Consider the following 16,916-nt stretch of genomic DNA (forward strand, 5'->3'; position numbering starts at 1 on the left):
TTTTCAGCTGCCAGAGGCCTGAGTTTGGGCACACTCTGTGTGATCGGGCAGAAGGCCTGTGGGAAGTTTAGCTGAGGACAGGGCCAGGAAAGGTGATGGACAGTGGGGGTCTGTCCTGGTCACCAGGCCCCTGGGTCCTGCCCACCTGCTTGGAGCTCCCCACCCATCACACATGATGCTGCCAAGCCCTCTGGGTATTGTGGGCAAATACCTTAGGAGAGAAGCTGATGAGCTTTGTTTCTTGAAATGCACAGATTCCTTGGACATCCCTGAGAGGCCAGTCATGAAAGTCAGCTTGGTTTTCTCCCCCTCATTTGGGTTCAGAATTTAAAGTCCACACACACGGGCAGTAAGATAATATAGATAAGGACATCATCACTCGGTTTCGGATGTTAAAATGTCTAGGTGGGTTAGGGGTGATTTGAGATCACGCAACCTTGTGCCACAAAGAGGAATTCCCAGGCCAGAGGGAGACATTTTATTGCCATGTTATGATCTCATCATTGAGTTGAAAGGCAATCTTGTTTCATTTTGGATTCTTTCTTATGTTTATGTCTTATAAGGGCACTTTGAATTTCCAAGCAAATAATAATTTTGAATTAGCTTTTAATCATTGACTTCTAGCACAGTTTTATGATCAGAAACATGCTGTGTGATTTGATTGCTCTCAAATATATTGAGATTTGCTGGAACAAAATAAGTCAGGTTAATTTTTGTAAATGTACCATGCATGCTTAAAATGAATGTATGTACATTTGTTCCTGAGATACAGGTTGATGGACGGATGGCTACATGGATGTGATGGAGATGGTTTACTATCGGGACCTTCCGCATCCTGCTGATGTTTTGTTGCTTAGGATATGAATGGCTGAGCGGAGGCTGTAAAACCTGGCACTCTGCTTGGGTATGAGGTTCTTCCTGCCATCCTGCCATCATTTGTTTTTTATGTTTTGTCGCCAAAAGTGACCTTGAGGAACCCTGGGAGCTCAGGAAGGAAGGAGCGCCCAGAAGCAGGGACAGGGAGCTGGTTGGGGAGGACCAGAAATCAGGTTTGTGAAGGTTCCAGAGAGGACCTGGCCTTGGGAGGAGCGTGGGGGACTGAGATGGGGGAGGGGTCATTGGGATGATGCGGGCGCTACTTGGAATGTCCATTGTGAGGCACCACCGGGGTCATCAGGGATTGGTGGAGAGAGAGTCTAAAGCCCCAGGGTTGCTAAGGGAGGGCCCAGACCGAAGAAGGTTTGGTGGAAAGCAGAACCTTTGTCTCCCTCTAATTGCTCCTAAGCCTCACGCTCCCTTGCCCCGCGTGTCCTGTTGCTTCCCTGATCTTCTCCGTGACCTGTAGCTAAACCTTCCACCAGCGCTTGAGAACTTAATTTGAACCGGATCCTTTCCCAGACCCCTTTCTTCTTCTCCTCCTCCTCCTCCCCAACAGCCCCCTTCTCCTCCTTTCCCTTCCCTTACTTCCCCCCTTCCCCTCCCCTTCCCCTCCCCCTCCCCTCCCCCTCCCCAACTCAGATCCGGCCCGGTCCCCGTCCCCTTCCCTCCCCCCTGCCCTAAGCCACCTCCACCTCTGTCCTGGCCACCTCCGGGTGCCCTGAAAGGACCAGGACATGCGGGTGCGGTGGCTGCTCTTTTGGCTCCTCTTTTGGCTCCTGCTGGGATTTATCAGCCATCAGTCCACCTGTGTGAGTAGATGGGTGCTGTGGCTGCTCTTTTGGCTCCTGCTGGGATTTATCAGCCATCAGTCCACCTGTGTGAGTAGACGCTGGACCCGCGGGGTTTCTTCCTTTTTACTGGGCTGTGTCACGCGGCATGAAATTACACAGCTCAGGCCTGTAATCCCAGCACTTTAGGGGGCCGAGGTGGGCAGATCACTTGAGTCCAGGAGTTGAAGACTAGCCAGGGCATCATAGCGAAACCCCATCTCTACAAAAAATTCCAAAAAAGATTAGTCGGGCCTGGTGGTGCGTACCTGTTATCCCAGTTACTGGAGAGGCTGAGGTGGGAGGATCGCTTGGGCCCAGGAGCTGGACGTTGCAGTGAGCCGAGATGGCCCCGCTGCACTCTTGTCTCTAACAAACAAAACGGACCAAAACAAAGTGAAATGTCATTTGATTTGTGTCATCTGGTTTGATGACTTTTTTTTTTTTTTAAGACAGAGTCTCATTCTGTCGCCCAGGCTGGAGTGCAGTGGCAAGATCTCGGCTCACTGCAACCTCCGCTTCCGGGGTTCAAGCAATTGTCCTGCCTCAGCCTCCTGAGCAGCTCAGATTACAACGCCTGGCTAATTTTTGTATTTTTAGTAGAGACTGGGTTTCACCGTGTTCGCCAGGATAGTCTCCATGTCTTGACCTCGTGATCTGCCTGCCTCGGCCTCCCAGTGCTGGGATTACAGGCGTGAGCCACCGCGCCTGGCCAAAATATATAACCTTAAGTGTAAGTTTACTAACTTTGGAAAGTACATACACCAGCATAAACCAACCCCCTTTCAAGATCTACATTATTTTATTTATTTATTTATTTTTTTGAGACAGTTTCTCCCTTGTTGCTGAGGCTGGAGTGCAATGGGGCAATATCAGCTCACCGCAACCTCTGCTTCCCAGGTTCGAGCGATTCTCCTGCCTCAGCCTCCCGAGTGGCTGGGATTACAGACATGTGCCACCACTCCCAGCTAATTTTGTATTTTTAGTAGAGATAGGGTTTCTCCATGTTGGTCAGGCTGGTTTTGAACTCCCGACCTCAGGTGATCCGCCTGCCTCGGCCTCCCAAAGTGTTGGGATTACAGGCGTGAACCACCGTGCCCAGCCAAGATCTACACTATTATGTCACCCCAGAAAGTGAACTCTCACTCTTCCCAGCCAGTCTCTTTCTTATCATAGGTTAGCTTGCTTATTCTGGAATTTCGCGTATACAGATGCATGCCATGCCATAGGTACTCTTTTGTGTCTGCTTTATTCTGCTCAACACCATGTTTCTGAAATCATTACCATTGTTGTACGGTTCTCTAACTCCATCATTTCCATTTCAGACTCAGCATATGCTGAGTTCAACCTGTTGAAGGGCTATCTCTGTTTAATTCACCATCTTGAAAGAAACATTTAAAATTGAGATGTTTTCAAGAATATATAGTTAAATCCTGAGGAATCGATGTAGAAATGTTATCAGAAGCTGTCTGAACTTACTCAGGGGAAGTCTTCGTCTTCACTCACATAAGAGTCTAATGGAATTAATATCAACAATCTTAGAGAAATCCCACGCTATTCATGCCATTTTCATGATCTCCACCTTGGTAATTTTTTTTTTTTTTTTGAGACAGAGTCTCGCTCTGTCACCCAGGCTGAAGTGCAGTGGTGCGATCTTGGCTCACTGCAACCTCTACCTCCCAGGTTCAAGTGATTCTTCTGCCTCAGCCTCCCAAGTAGCTGGAACTATAGGCGCGTGCCACCATGCCCTGCTAATTTTTTGTATTTTTAGTAGAGATGGGTTTCACCGTGTTAGCTAGGATGGTCTCAATCTCCTGATCTCGCGGTCCACCCACCTCGGCTTCCCAAAGTGCTGGGATTGCAGGCGTGAGCCACCACGCCCAGCCCACCTTGTTACTTTTTAAGAACTAAAATTCGATACTTATTTGTGAATGAAGTAATCTCTTCATTGTATTTTTTTTTTTTTTTTACTTATGCTGAGCTTTAAATGACAAAGATTCATATAATCCAAGAGAGAAGTATTATTTAGAGGGATTCTTTTACCATGTGATATATAATAAATGCATCCAATGTTATACATCAATTTAAAAAACAAATAACTAAAGAAAAGATAACTACTGGCCAGGTGCAGTGGCTCACACCTGTATTGCCAGCACTTTGGGAGGCCGAGGCAGGTGGATCATGAGGTCAGGAGTTGGAGACCAGCCTGGCCAAGATGGTGAAACCCTGTTTCTACTAAAAAGACAAAAATTAGCCGAGCGTGGTGGCAGGCGCCTGTAATCCCAGTTACTCAGTAGCTGAGGCAGGAGAATCGCTTGAACCCGGGAGGCGGAGGTTGCAGTGAGCTGAGATCATGCCACTGCAATCTAGCCTGGGTGACAGAGCAAGACTTTGTCTCAAAACAAAAATAAAAGATAAGATAATTACTTTATACTTAGCTTGTCTTACCCATGAGTGACGGGCTGCATGTGGCCCAGGACAGTTTTGAATGCAGTTCAACACAAATTTGTAAACTTTCTTAAAACATTAGGAGATTTTGGCCAGGTACAGTGGCTCATGCCTGTAATCCCAGCACTTTGGGAGGCTGAGGCGGGCAGATTACCTGAGGTCAGGAGTTCGAGACCACCCTGGCCAACATGGCAAAACCCCATCTCCACAAAAAATACAAAAATTTGCTGAGTGCACTGTCAGGCACCTGTACTCCCAGCTACTCAGGAGGCTGAGGCAGGAGAGTCACTTGAACCTGAGAGGCAGAGGTTGCAGTGAGCCGAGAGCACACCACTGCACTCCAGCCTGGGTGACAGAGTGAGACCCCATCTCAAAAACAACAAACAAAAACAAAAAAAATGGCCGGGCACGGTGGCTCACACCTGTAATCCCAGCACTTTGGGAGGCCGAGGCAGGCAGATCGCCTGTCAGGAGTTCAAGGCCAGACTGGCCAACATGGTGAAACCTCATCTCTACTAAAAATACAAAAATTAGTCGGGCATGGTGGCAGAGACCTGTAATCTCAGCTGCTCGGGAGGCTGAGGCAGGAGAATGGCTTGAGCCCAGGAGCTGGAGGTTGCAGTGAGCCGAGATTGCACCACTGCACTCCAGCCTGGGCGACTGAGTGGAGCGGAACTCTGTCTCAAAAAAAAAAAAAAAAAAATTTTTTTTTTTAGATCATCAGCTATTGTTAGTGTTAGTGTATGTTATGTGTGGCTCAAGACAACTTTGCTTCTTTTAATATAGGCAGGGAAGTCAAAAGATTGGATATCCCTGCTTTATACCAAGAAAGACAACACCCCACATTTGCAATGCCTAAAAACACTACCAGCCATCTGAAAAACATGAGACTTCTCTAACTTCTGTTCTTTTTTGTAGCAGTGGAATCCCACGGTGATATCTGAGGGATGTGGTTACCTTTTGGAGGAGGTTGACGGTTTCTAAGGATGATTCTTTCTGAGTGAAATATTGTCAGTGTCATTGACCTTTTCATTATTTCAACTATTATTATTCCAGGTTATCAATACTCTGGCTGACCATCGTCATCGTGGGACTGACTTTGGTGGAAGTCCTTGGTTACTTATCATTACTGTGTTTCTGAGAAGTTATAAATTTGCCATCTCCCTCTGCACAAGTTACCTTTGTGTGAGTATACTAACTTTCTGTAGAGGTATACTTGTAATCACAAATAAGAATAAATTATATGAAACAATTCACGTTTCTGGACTTCATTATGAATATGTGGTTTTACCCAAAAAATCAGGGAAATGATTTATTAGCATAAGAATTATGAAAATATCTGCCATTTACATTATGAAAATTAAATAGGTCGGTGTTTAATAGAATGTCAACAGAGCTTTTGGTCAAAAATAAGTTTTTTTAACCTTTGTGCTATTTGTCACAAATGGAGTATGAGATTTCGTCACTTAAATGGGAAAGTCTTTCTAAACTCTTCTGCTTTATAGTTCTATCGTATGGGTGGAAGGAAAGCTTCCAATCTCCTCTCTGAAGATTCACTGCAGAAATGAGCTGACAACAGACAGCTTAACAGGAAAAGAAAAACATAGAACAGGCATAAACATGGGAACCAGCTGAAAAATGAGACTGCTAGAAGGGCTGGATGGTTGATGCTTAAAGAGCACCCTCTTCTGAGGGTAGAGGGAGATAGATGGAGATGTAGGCCATTTAGAGGGTCAGCAAATGATTTTTAGGGGAAATGAAAGAGCCCAAGGAACAAACAGTTGGCCTGAGACAAAGTTCCTCTGAGGTCATAGGGACGAGGTGACAAACTGCCGGAAGGTGAAGGGCAGAACTGCACTGCGTCTCATGATGCAGAGAAAGCCCCAGAGAATCTCTTAGAACTGCCCTCCAAGAGAATCAATGAAAAGTGTGTCTGGGCAGGGTAATTTTGAATGACATCATTCAAAGTGCATGTTCCCACTTGCAACTGGAGAGAGATCCGTATGTCAAAAGTCTGTACTTGGTAAGAATTTGGCTGCTAAGTTGTGGCATAATTTGTCTTTTGAGCCTTTTTTCCTTTGGGTAAGTTGAGCTCTACATTTTGTCTTGCCATTCATGACAGTAAAAATGTGGTTGTGTGGGGGCTGAACCTCCTTCTGAACAATGATCCAAGATAAAAGTACTAATACCACAATGCTTTTTGATATTCAAGGGAAGAGGAAGTATGTTTCAGTTTTACCGCCTAGATAATTACACGTCATTTGGCACTGCCTTTCAAGATATGTGGAAAACAGAAAATATATGAGTTATGAAGATATCTAGGCACATTTAACATTCTCTATGCCACTTAGTCCTGAACAGAGAATTTTTGGTATAAATTGGAGGAAGCTTTTTTTTTTTTTTTTTCTTTTCTCACCCCCAAAAGGAGTCTCCCTCTGTTGCCCAGGCTGGAGTATAATGGTGTGATCTCGGCTCACTGCAACCTCCACCTCCTGGCTTCAAGTGATTCCCCTGCCTCAGCCTCTCAAGTAGCTGGGATTACAGGTGCCCACCACCATGCCCAGCTAATTTGTGTATTTTTAGTAGAGTCGGGGTTTTACCATGTTGGCCAGGCTAGTCTCAAAACCCGACCTCAAATGATCCACCCGCCTCAGCCTCCCAAAGTGCTGGGATTACAAGCGTGAGCCACCACGTGAGCCAGGGGAAGTTTTTAAATTTACCACTTTTTAACAATTCCATTTAGGAAAGTTCAGTTGAGCTGTTGGACTTGGACAACTTTGTACCTCTCATCTTTGTCCTTGTCATCTAGTCATCTATACCATTACCTCCTAAGCAGGGACATCATGGGTGCCATGAAGCATTCATGTGTGATGGCATTTCTTTGCTTCTCATTTCTTCATGTGTTTGACATTTCTCCTAGCTCCAAACTGGGCCAGCTACCTTTCCTATGAAATCTAGCAGTAGCTGTGGGATAGACGTGGTTGCTCTTTTCATCTTTTTAGATTACCCATTGCTTCTCTTGAAATCCTAGTACATGATTTTTTTTTTTATCCTATGTGCAGAAATCAGGAAAAAACAAATTCTACAAAGAATTTGAAAGATATTATTTCAGGCCAGGTGTGGTGGCTCATGCCTGTAATCCCAGCACTTTGGGAGGCTGAGGCAGGTGGATCACTTGAGGTCAGGAGTTCAAGACCAGATGGGCCAACATAGTGAAATCCCATCTCTACTAAAAAGACAAAAATTAGCCAGGCATGGTAGCAGGCACCTGTAATCCCAGCTACTTGGGAGGCCGAGGCACAAGAATCGCTTGAATCTGGGAGGTGGAGGTTGCCGTGAGCCAAGGTAGCGCCACTGCACTTCAGCATGGTTGAGTGACACTCCGTCTCAAGAAAAAAGTCATTTCAATGACTACCTCAGGAGATTCATAGGTATCTGACCCACATCTGAGATGGGATTTGCATTGCATTTTAGCTATGATGAGAACAAATATTTAATATCTTCGAAGATTAAAAGCATACTGTGATAATATGGAAATCTTGGTGGGAATTCAGTCATTAGTGAGAATGTTTTGCATTAAGTTCAAACCAGCCTCAACGAAGCTGATGTGAGGGAAGGGAAAGTGAACTCTGAGTAGAGCAGGGACAGAAGAAAGATGCTCCAGTGCAGATCAGGAAGGAGCAGGGGGTGAAATGTTACAAATTCTAGAACTCAGAGAGCTGAAGGTAATTAATTACTTCCTTTTCAAGTTGTGAAACATGTTAACCTGTGGTAAAATACTTACAAGATGATAATTACCATCTAACCGTGTTGAAGTGTACAGTTCAGTTGTGTGAAGTATATTCATGTCATTTTTTTTTTTTTTTTTTGAGACGGAGTCTCACTCTGTCACCAGGCTGGAGTGCAGTGGTGGGATCTTGGCTCACTGCAACCTCTGCCTCTTGGGTTCAAGCAGTTCTCCTGCCTCAGCCTCCGGAGTAGCTGGGACTACAGGCGTGCGCCACCATGCTCAGCTAATTTTTGTATTTTTAGTAGAGACGGGGTTTCACCATGTTGCCCAGGATGGTCTCCATCTCTTGACCTTGTGATTCACCCGCCTCGGCCTCCCAAAGTGCTGGGATTACAGGCGTGAGCTACCGCACCTGGCCTATATTTTTTTTTTTTTTTTTTTTTGAGACAGAGTTTGAATTTTGTTGCCCATGTTGGAGTGCAATGGCACAATCTCAGCTCAACACAACCTTTTCCTGCTGGGTTCAAGTGATTCTCCTGCCTCAGCCTCCCGACTAGCTGGGATTACAGGCATGCACCACCATGCCTGGCTAATTTTGTATTTTTAGCAGAGACAGCGTTTCTCCATGTTGGTGAGGCTGGTCTCAAACTCCCGACCTCAGGTGATCCGCCTGCCTCGGCCTCCCAAAGTGCTGGGATTACAGGAGTGAGCCACCATGCCAGCCTCATGTCATTCTTGTGTGGTGTGTGTGTGTGTGTGTGTGTGTGTGTGTGTGTGTGTGTGAGACAGAGTCTCATTCTGTCACTCAGGCTGGAGTGCAGTGGTGTGATCTCGGCTCACTGCAACCTCCACCTCCCAGCTTCAAACGGTTCTCTGCCTCAGCCTCCCGAGTAGCTCGGATTACAGGCGCCCACTGCCATGCCCGGCTAATTTTTGTATTTTTAGTAGAGATGGGGTTTCACCATCTTGGCCAGGCTGGTCTTGAACTCCTGACCCCGTGATCCACCCTGCCTCGGCCTCCCAAAGTACTGGGATTATACGCATGAGCCACCGTGCCCAGCCGTCATTCTTATATTATTATTTCCTAGGTGTCTTTCCTGAAGACTATCTTCCCGTCTCAAAATGGACATGATGGATCCACGGATGTACAGCAGAGAGCCAGGAGGTCCAACCGCCGTAGACAGGAAGGTATGGCTCTGTTGGAGTCCCCATAGTGTGGAAATGAGTTTGCCCTGGAAAGGGAAAGAACAGCTTCTTGCCCTCAGGTTTCTCACCTTCTCCTCTCCTCACTCTCACCAAGGGCTGAGGTCCGTTTGTATGCACACAAAGAAAAGAGTTTCTTCCTTTCCAGGAATTAAAATTGTCCTGGAAGACATCTTTACTTTATGGAGACAGGTGGAAACCAAAGTTCGAGCTAAAATCCGTAAGATGAAGGTGACAACAAAAGTCAACCGTCATGACAAAATCAATGGAAAGAGGAAGACCGCCAAAGAACAGTAAGATGTGCCTTGACACAAATACTGTTGTATGAACCATGTGCCAATCAAAGTAGACAACTGTAAAGTCCTTGAGAATATTTTCTACAATATTTGTGGCAAATTCAGTGGGTTCAAAATTGAGCTTGTCCTTTCTGCTTCATTAGTTTAAGCTGTATAATTCCTTTCCCTTCCTACATTCTTGTTTGTCATTTTTTCAGGGGAAGAGGAGTTGCTAGTACTGGCATTGGTTTTCCTTTCTCTCTCTCTTTTTTTTTTTTTTTCCTGAAATGGAGCTTTGCTCTTGTTGCCCAGGCCGTAGTGCAATGGCACAATCTCAGCTCACTGCCTTTTGGGTTCAAGCAATTCTCCTGCCTCAGCCTCCCAAGTAGCTGGGATTACAGGTGCCCACCACCACGCCCAGCTAATTTTTGTATTTTTACTAGAGATGGGGTTTCACCATGTTGTCCAGACTGGTCTCGAACTTCTGACCTCAGGTAATCCACCCGCCTCAGCCTCCCAAAGTGCTGGGATTAGAGGCGTGAGCCACCACACCCAGGCTTTTTTTTTTTTTTTAATTTTGAGATAGAGTCTCGCTCTGTCGCCCAGGCTGGAGTGCTATGGTGCAATCTTGGCTCACTGCAACCTCTGCCTCCCAGTTTGAAGCAATTCTGCCTTGGCTTCCCGAGTAGCTTGGATTACAGGTGTGTGCCACCACATTCGGCCAATTTTTTTTTTTTTTTTTTTTTTTTGAGACAGAGTCTCACTCTGTCACCCAGGCTAGAGTGCAGTGGCATGATCTTGGCTCACTGCAACCTCCGCCTCCCAGGTTCAAACGATTCTTATCCCTCAGCCTCTTGAGTAGCTGGGACTACAGGCATATGCCACCATGCCCAGATAATTTTTGTATTTTTAGTAGAGGCGGGGTTTCACCATATTGGCCAAGCTGGTCTAGAACTCCTGACATCATGATCCGCACAACTCGGCCTCCCAATGTGCTGGGATTACAGGCGTGAGCCACCGTGCCCAGCCCAATTTTTGTATTTTTAGTAGAGACGGGTTCACCATGTTGGCCAGGCTAGTCTTGAACTCCTGACCTCAGGTGATCTGCCTACCTCAGCCTCCCAGTGTGAGCCACCGCACCCAGCCTGGATTGTTGAACTCAATGCTTGGGTCACCTCCAGATTCATTTTCACAGTCTTTCATGTTTTGGTCATACTACATTGTATTTTGCTGCCATATGACTGATCTTTTTTTGTTAAATGTGAGATACTTGTTAAAAAATATTTAACAATGAATTGAGGCCTAGTAGCATGTTATCTTGCTGCAGAAGAGATGGGAGTCTACTTCTGGGGGATGGTCAGGGGTCCTCCGTACAGGCTGCAATTGAGGTCGTCTCTGCAGGCTCAGTCCCTACAAAGGCCAGGGTATTTCCTGTCCACCTCTATTCTGATGCATGACTCTTCTGGGTCTCAACCAGAGCCAGTGGACTTCAGTATGGATCGCTTTCATTGGCAGACCCTCAATCCACTTGTTTTCCATCTAACCCCACGCATGTGTGCAAAAGCTGCTGTGCTTCTTTGCATCTCAGTAGTTCCTTCTGGAATTCAGCAATGAAACTCAGGGAAATGGGTTCCAAATGCGAGGCTGACTTTCGTCCTGGGTTTCCTTCTTCTCCATCTTCACCTCATGTCTGTTTACTGCCATGTTAGCAATTTGATGTATTCAATCATGGGTTTTATATTCTGTTTGGTGTCCCCCATTGTTCTCATCTGAGATCAGAAGCTTCAGATGCACTTATGTCAACTCAAGAGTAGAATGCTTCCTTAGCCTCCCTCCAGAGTCAGGTTTTGTGTTTCTAGTTCCCAAGTGCACAGCAGGAGTAGTGATGTCCTCACTGGCTTCTCATTTGCATTAAACTGTGAGCTTCTTTAGCGTGGGGACAGGACCCTGCTCCCATTGCATTGTCAGCACCTCACCACACACACCTTGTTTGAGGCCACTCCAGACAGCATGTGCTGAAGGATGCCCTGTGGTCAGAAACAAGTTCATTAACTTTCTCTTTGAAGTGTTTTCGTCCCTGTTTCCTAGCGTTCTGGGAATTTTACACATCCTTCCTATAAAACCAAGTATCAGGTGAGATCCTTAGGATCAGGACCATGAATCAAGTGGTGTGAGGGCAACACAGCAAACTTACCCTTTTGAGGCCGTTTCCTTTTTCTGCCCTCAATCTCTGTGAACTGAACCTTGTTAAAGTCAGTCAACACCAGGGTGGATGGTTTGCCGTTGTCACCTATTTTCAGGACATAACATCCTGACTTAGGAGCCATTCCGATCATTTCTAATTCAATAGATGCACCCAGCATTCAGATTGCCTTTTCAGGATCTTTAAAGTCGATGACAAGAGTTCCAGTCCTGAATCATGGCAAAGTGCAGTAGTGAACTGCGGGGTTAATGACACCATATTCTGGAAGGATCTCTCTATGGCTGATGGTCTCAGTTCCGGCATCAGCCTCTGACTGAGAATCAGGTCTCACACAGGAGAAGTCAGATGAGGAGCAATCCTCTGCTTCCGATGGAGTTAGTTGTGATGAATTGGTGAGGTCTGGTTTTTCACACTGAACTAAAATGAGCTTTCGCTGTGTCAAGCACAAGACTGACCCCAGAGACGCACATAGTGCACCTCATAGAAGCTTTTAATAGTCTTTATATTTACTAAAGAATAGGACTAACTATGGAACTATGAAGATGAGCTGGAAATGACAGGTGACTTGCCAGCAGGCCAGAGTGTGATTTTTTTTTGTCCCTCAATGGGAGGTGTCCATTCTTCCTTCGGTTGTGAGAATCAGTTGGTTCATTTGTGGGAAGGTTGCAGGGGGGATCTTTGAATCAGCCTTCAGATGCCAGAAGGGCAGAGGGAATCCCACACGTGCTGGTGGATCATGTGTGTGCATTTCTCTCCCTTCTAGTCTGAGGAAACTAAGCATGAAAGAACGTGAGCACGGAGAAAAGGAGAGGCAGGTGTCAGAGGCAGAGGAAAATGGGAAATTGGATATGAAAGAAATACACACCTACATGTGAGTTCAGAAACTGAACCCCACCCTCTTGGGAAACGCCCATTGGAGTGTTGTTTTTAACCTTTGTACAATGTTTAGACCCAGTAAATGCAGAAATAGAAACAAATGGTCAGAAGACATATCGTGAGAGAGAGAGAGTTCACAAAACAGAAAACAAAGTACCTTAATATTTACCAGTGACCAAAAGATGTGAAGTAGCAAAACGGCTCCTGACCCCATTGCCAGCTAGACTGTGTGGAAACTCGGTTCATACCAGCCATTCTAGGGGTGGGGTGAGTTGTTGTCATCCTTAGGAAAGTGTGTTGTTGTAGGATCAACCACATCCTTCAAAAGGACTATGCCTGTTTATAAGCCCAGCTGTTTCTGCCCTGTGAAACACGGTAAAGATATTAATACAAAGAGAATACAGCTTTATGATAAAAGATGCTCAATGAAGGATGAATTAGGGATATACTGAGAATGGGGAAGGAAACTATCATCTCAGAAGTCAGGCAGTAAGCAAGAGGAGGAATCAATATAGCAACAGTTTGGATCAGACTGTACAGTTTTTTTGTTTTTGTTTTTGTTTTTGTTTTTCTGAGATGGAGTCTTGCTGTGTCACCCAGGCTGGAGTGCAATGACGTGATCTTGGCTCACTGCAACCTCTGCCTCCCAGGTTCAAGTGATTCCCCTGCCTCAGCCTCCCGAGTAGCTGGGATTACAGGCGCCTGCCACCACCCCCGCCTAATTTTTTGTATTTTTAGTAGAGACGGGGTTTCACCGTATTAGCCAGGATGGTCTCAATCTCCTGACCTCGTGATCCATCCGCCTCGCCCTCCCAGAGTGCTGGGATTACAGGCGTCAGCCACCGTGACCGGCTCAGACTGTACTCTTCTAGCCATCTGAAATACGTTTTCTAGGTAGAGATAGATTGTGTAAGGGTACAGTTGTGAGGATAACAGAAACATGGCAGATTATTTAAAATCATCCTGAAAGTGGTGCTTTATCTGATGAAAGTGATTGTAATCCATAGGGAAATGTTTCAACGTGCGCAAGCGTTGCGGCGGCGGGCAGAGGACTACTACAGATGCAAAGTAAGGAGCTTCCTCCCCGCAGTTGCAGGATAGTTCAGTGCTGATGCAGATGATGCCACGGCCCTTAGACTCTCTCAACATTCAATTTCTCATGTGTTGGCTTTTTCAGATCACCCCTTCTGCAAGAAAGCCTCTTTGCAACCGGGTAAGTTTGCTTGTTTTCCTTGCTTTTGGACATAGTCTGCCAGGTCAGGACATGGATACATTTTTCTCCCTACGGCTCTGTGCTCAAGCCCTGCAGAGGGAGATGGCAGAGAGGAAGGCTGCCTACAAGCATCACAGTCCCATCCCTGTTGGTAACCGTGTTGCGCAAAAACACCTTCATCCCCACCCAGTGGGGCCCCCATCTAATATTCTAAGTGTCAGAGGTTCCGTATTTGTAATAGCAAATGGGCCCTGACTGTAAATTAGTGAAGAGTGAATGTAACTTATTACCCACAGGGACAATTCCAAATGAGGGCCTTAAATGATGCTCAGCTAAGCTGGTTCTTGTGTGGCCTCTGTACCTTCAAAAGCTGCCGAGTCCTATGATTGCACGCGATGGGACTTGTACACTTGAAATGAAACACAGTTTTAAAACTTGCTTTGTTTAGAATTCCCACCTCATTTTTCCATGGACAAAAGTATTCTTTATGTCCTAGTGCACTTACAATTTGGTATTACCTGGGAGTGAAAAGAAATATTACAGCCATGCCTAACTGACTTCTTGAGGTAAGATTGTTCTGTCAGAAAACCCTCTCCCAGTTCCCCTGCAGCTCTTCAGGAATCCACATCTCTCCAGAGCTCTTTGTTCTCATGGGTGGCACCTCCAGAGTGAAGAAGATCCTTTGTCAAGAAGGGAAACAGAGGGGAAATGAGAGGGTCCTGCAGGCAGAGCTGGAATCAACTTCCACTCTGCCTCTTGCAAGCTGTGTGACCCTGGGCACAATTTCTCCTTCCTCTGGAAACCTCTGTTTTCTTAGATTTGGAGCAGGGTGGTCACACTGACCTTGCAGAGTTCTGAGAATCAGAGACAGAACATAAAAGGCCTGGAAAACATTCTCCAAAAAGAAGCTGCAACATGTGTGGACAATGGGCTTTTCATGCCTCTCTTACTGTCTCTTACTGTCTATTGACCTGGTGCAAGAAACATGCTCTGGTGATGGCTGTGAGGGAGGAATGAGGATAGACATAGACACTCCTGTGTCTCAAACATGCTTCTTTATTACTCTGTTATGACTCTGTCTTCCCTGGGGCAGGACCCCAGCCTGCCTACATTTGCAGACAGACACAGTGGCATGTGGAGACAACAGTGTGTCCCAATGACTTTTCTTTACCCCCTAGCTGTCGGCAGTACTCAGTGGAAGGGTGATATTATGACACTGACACTGCTATTTTGAAACCTGGAGGATGGAAAGGTGCAAAAATCTATCACCAGCAACAGAAGGTGCAGACTGTGTTGGTGGCGGTAATTTTGTCCATCAAATGAATATGTGTGAAAACATTCCCTCCTTTGGCCCTACAGGTCAGAATGGCGGCAGTGGAGCATCGTCATTCTTCAGGATTGCCCTACTGGCCCTACCTCACAGCTGAAACTTTAAAAAACAGGATGGGCCACCAGCCACCTCCTCCAACTCAACAACATTCTATAATTGATAACTCCCTGAGCCTCAAGACACCTTCCGAGTGTCTGCTCACTCCCCTTCCACCCTCAGCTCTACCCTCAGCGGATGATAATCTCAAGACACCTGCGGAGTGTCTGCTCTATCCCCTTCCACCCTCAGCGGATGATAATCTCAAGACACCTCCCGAGTGTCTGCTCACTCCCCTTCCACCCTCAGCTCCACCCTCAGTGGATGATAATCTCAAGACACCTCCCGAGTGTGTCTGCTCACTCCCCTTCCACCCTCAGCGGATGATAATCTCAAGAAACTAAGGAAGAATAAATAAATAATATAAAAATAAAATGAATACTGCAGTCCTTATGTTATTGCTTTGTTTCAATATCTGGTATGATTGCCTGAGGGACCTGAGGTTTTTAATCGTAGGGGTTTTTTTAATCTTTAGAAGTGGTTGGTTATGTAAAATATTATTATTTGTTTTTTTTTTTGAGACTGGAGTTTGCTCTGTCACCCAGGCTGGAGTGCAGTGGCTCGATCACAGCTCACTGCAGCCTCAACCTCCTGGGCTTCAAGCAATCCTCCTGCCCCAGCCTCCCAAGTAGCTGGGATCACAGATGTGTGCCACCACGCCTGGCCAATGTTAAAAAATCCTTTAACTTTTTTGTAGAGATGCACTCCTGGACTCAAGCAATCCTCCTACTTGTCCCGACCACCAGCCTCTTTCTGATAAACATTTACACTGTTTATTATCTGATGCCATTTCTATCTTCTTCCTTGTCATCCAGACATCAAAGAATTAGGTTTCTTCAGGGTTTTCTTTTTCAAGTGCTCAGTGTTAAAGATCACTCACATTAGGGCCAGACACCACGGCTCATGCCTGTAATCCCAGCACTTTGGGAGGCCGAGGCGGGCAGAGCACTTGAGGTGGGGAGTTTGAGACCAGCCCGGCCAACTTGGTGAAACCCCACCTCTACTGAAAAAATACAAAAATTAGCTGGGCGTGATGGTGCATGCCTGTAGTCCCAGCCACTTGGGAGGCTGAGGCATGAGAATCGCTTGAACCCAGGAGGCAGAGGTTGTAGTGAGCCGAGATCACATCAGCACACTCTAGCCTGGGTGACAGAGCGAGACTGACTCAAAAAATAAATAAAATAAATATCACTTACATTAGATATACCCAAGGGGTGGTCTATAGAGACTTGGAAGCAGTGGTTATTGCAACAGGGGCACGGAAGTCATCTGGCTATGCCAGGGTGCCCAGGGGATACTCGGGGTGGGTGGCATGGTGCTGCTGGGGACTCACCGCACAGGACGCTCTGATTGACGCACTGCCAGGAGTAGCGCTCTGTCTTGGGGCTGCAGCCGGCCTCCTCAGCTCGAGTGTAACAACAGTCGTGGCCATGGCAGCACCTGCGGATGTCACATGGGCAGGACAGCAGGTGGGTGAAACTCTCTCCTGGCCCTCCTCTCTTGCCAGCACTATGGGTGACTGAAGACCCCCAGGGAGGCACAGCATCCTCTTATCTAAGATTTTTTTTTTTTTAAGAGACAGGGTCTTTCTCTGTCGCCCAGGCTGGACTGCAGAGGCACAATCATAGCTCACGGCAGCCTTGAACTCCTGGGCTCAAGCGATCCTCCCACTTCAGTGTCCCAAGTAGCTGAGACTACAGGCACACGCCAGCATGCCTGGCTGGTTTTTTAATTTGTATTTCCTTTGAGACAGCGTATCTCTCTGTTGCTCAGGCTGGAGTGCAATGGCTCAATCAGCTCACTTTAGCCTTGAACTCCCGGGCTCAAGTGATACTG

General features: G+C 46.4%; 1 protein-coding gene and 1 pseudogene across 2 annotated transcripts in view, besides 2 other annotated features; both read left to right on the top strand.

Annotated features, from left to right (window-relative positions):
* Positions 1 to 15,459, top strand: part of PKD1P3-NPIPA1 (PKD1P3-NPIPA1 readthrough) — a 40,299-nt pseudogene extending 24,840 nt beyond the window's left edge. Inside the window, exons 31-39 of the transcript NR_146231.1 lie at positions 964 to 1,049; positions 5,211 to 5,339; positions 8,973 to 9,072; positions 9,236 to 9,380; positions 12,329 to 12,436; positions 13,449 to 13,509; positions 13,619 to 13,654; positions 14,151 to 14,220; positions 15,014 to 15,459. The product of NR_146231.1 is annotated as a PKD1P3-NPIPA1 readthrough (transcript). The remainder of the gene's footprint in view (positions 1 to 963; positions 1,050 to 5,210; positions 5,340 to 8,972; positions 9,073 to 9,235; positions 9,381 to 12,328; positions 12,437 to 13,448; positions 13,510 to 13,618; positions 13,655 to 14,150; positions 14,221 to 15,013) is intronic.
* Positions 842 to 15,455, top strand: NPIPA1 (nuclear pore complex interacting protein family member A1). The gene is made up of 8 exons (NM_006985.4): positions 842 to 904; positions 5,211 to 5,339; positions 8,973 to 9,072; positions 9,236 to 9,380; positions 12,329 to 12,436; positions 13,449 to 13,509; positions 13,619 to 13,654; positions 15,014 to 15,455. The coding sequence occupies exons 1-8, from the start codon at positions 842 to 844 to the stop codon at positions 15,422 to 15,424; spliced, it is 1,053 nt and encodes a 350-aa protein (NP_008916.2). The 3' UTR covers positions 15,425 to 15,455.
* Positions 10,763 to 11,264: an enhancer, noted in NCBI's record as "H3K4me1 hESC enhancer chr16:15041221-15041722 (GRCh37/hg19 assembly coordinates)". NCBI's record gives its function as "activates a minimal SCP1, AML or CMV promoter by ChIP-STARR-seq in primed H9 embryonic stem cells {active_cell/tissue: H9 hESC(primed)}" and the evidence as "EXISTENCE:reporter gene assay evidence [ECO:0000049][PMID:30033119]".
* Positions 11,265 to 11,764: an enhancer, noted in NCBI's record as "H3K4me1 hESC enhancer chr16:15041723-15042222 (GRCh37/hg19 assembly coordinates)". NCBI's record gives its function as "activates a minimal SCP1, AML or CMV promoter by ChIP-STARR-seq in primed H9 embryonic stem cells {active_cell/tissue: H9 hESC(primed)}" and the evidence as "EXISTENCE:reporter gene assay evidence [ECO:0000049][PMID:30033119]".
* Positions 15,460 to 16,916: the final 1,457 nt, after the last annotated feature.

Source organism: Homo sapiens, chromosome 16 (genome assembly GCF_000001405.40).
Source record: "Homo sapiens chromosome 16, GRCh38.p14 Primary Assembly".
In the NCBI taxonomy this organism is placed as follows: Eukaryota; Metazoa; Chordata; class Mammalia; order Primates; family Hominidae; genus Homo; species Homo sapiens.

Coding starts and splice junctions, on each gene's coding strand:
- NPIPA1 (NM_006985.4), top strand. CDS start 842: ATGTTTTGTTGCTTAGGATATGAATGGCTGAGCGGAGGCTGTAAAACC. Junction 5,340..8,972: donor TCTGCACAAGTTACCTTTGT/GTGAGTATACTA, acceptor ATTATTTCCTAG/GTGTCTTTCCTGAAGACTAT. Junction 9,073..9,235: donor CAACCGCCGTAGACAGGAAG/GTATGGCTCTGT, acceptor CTTCCTTTCCAG/GAATTAAAATTGTCCTGGAA.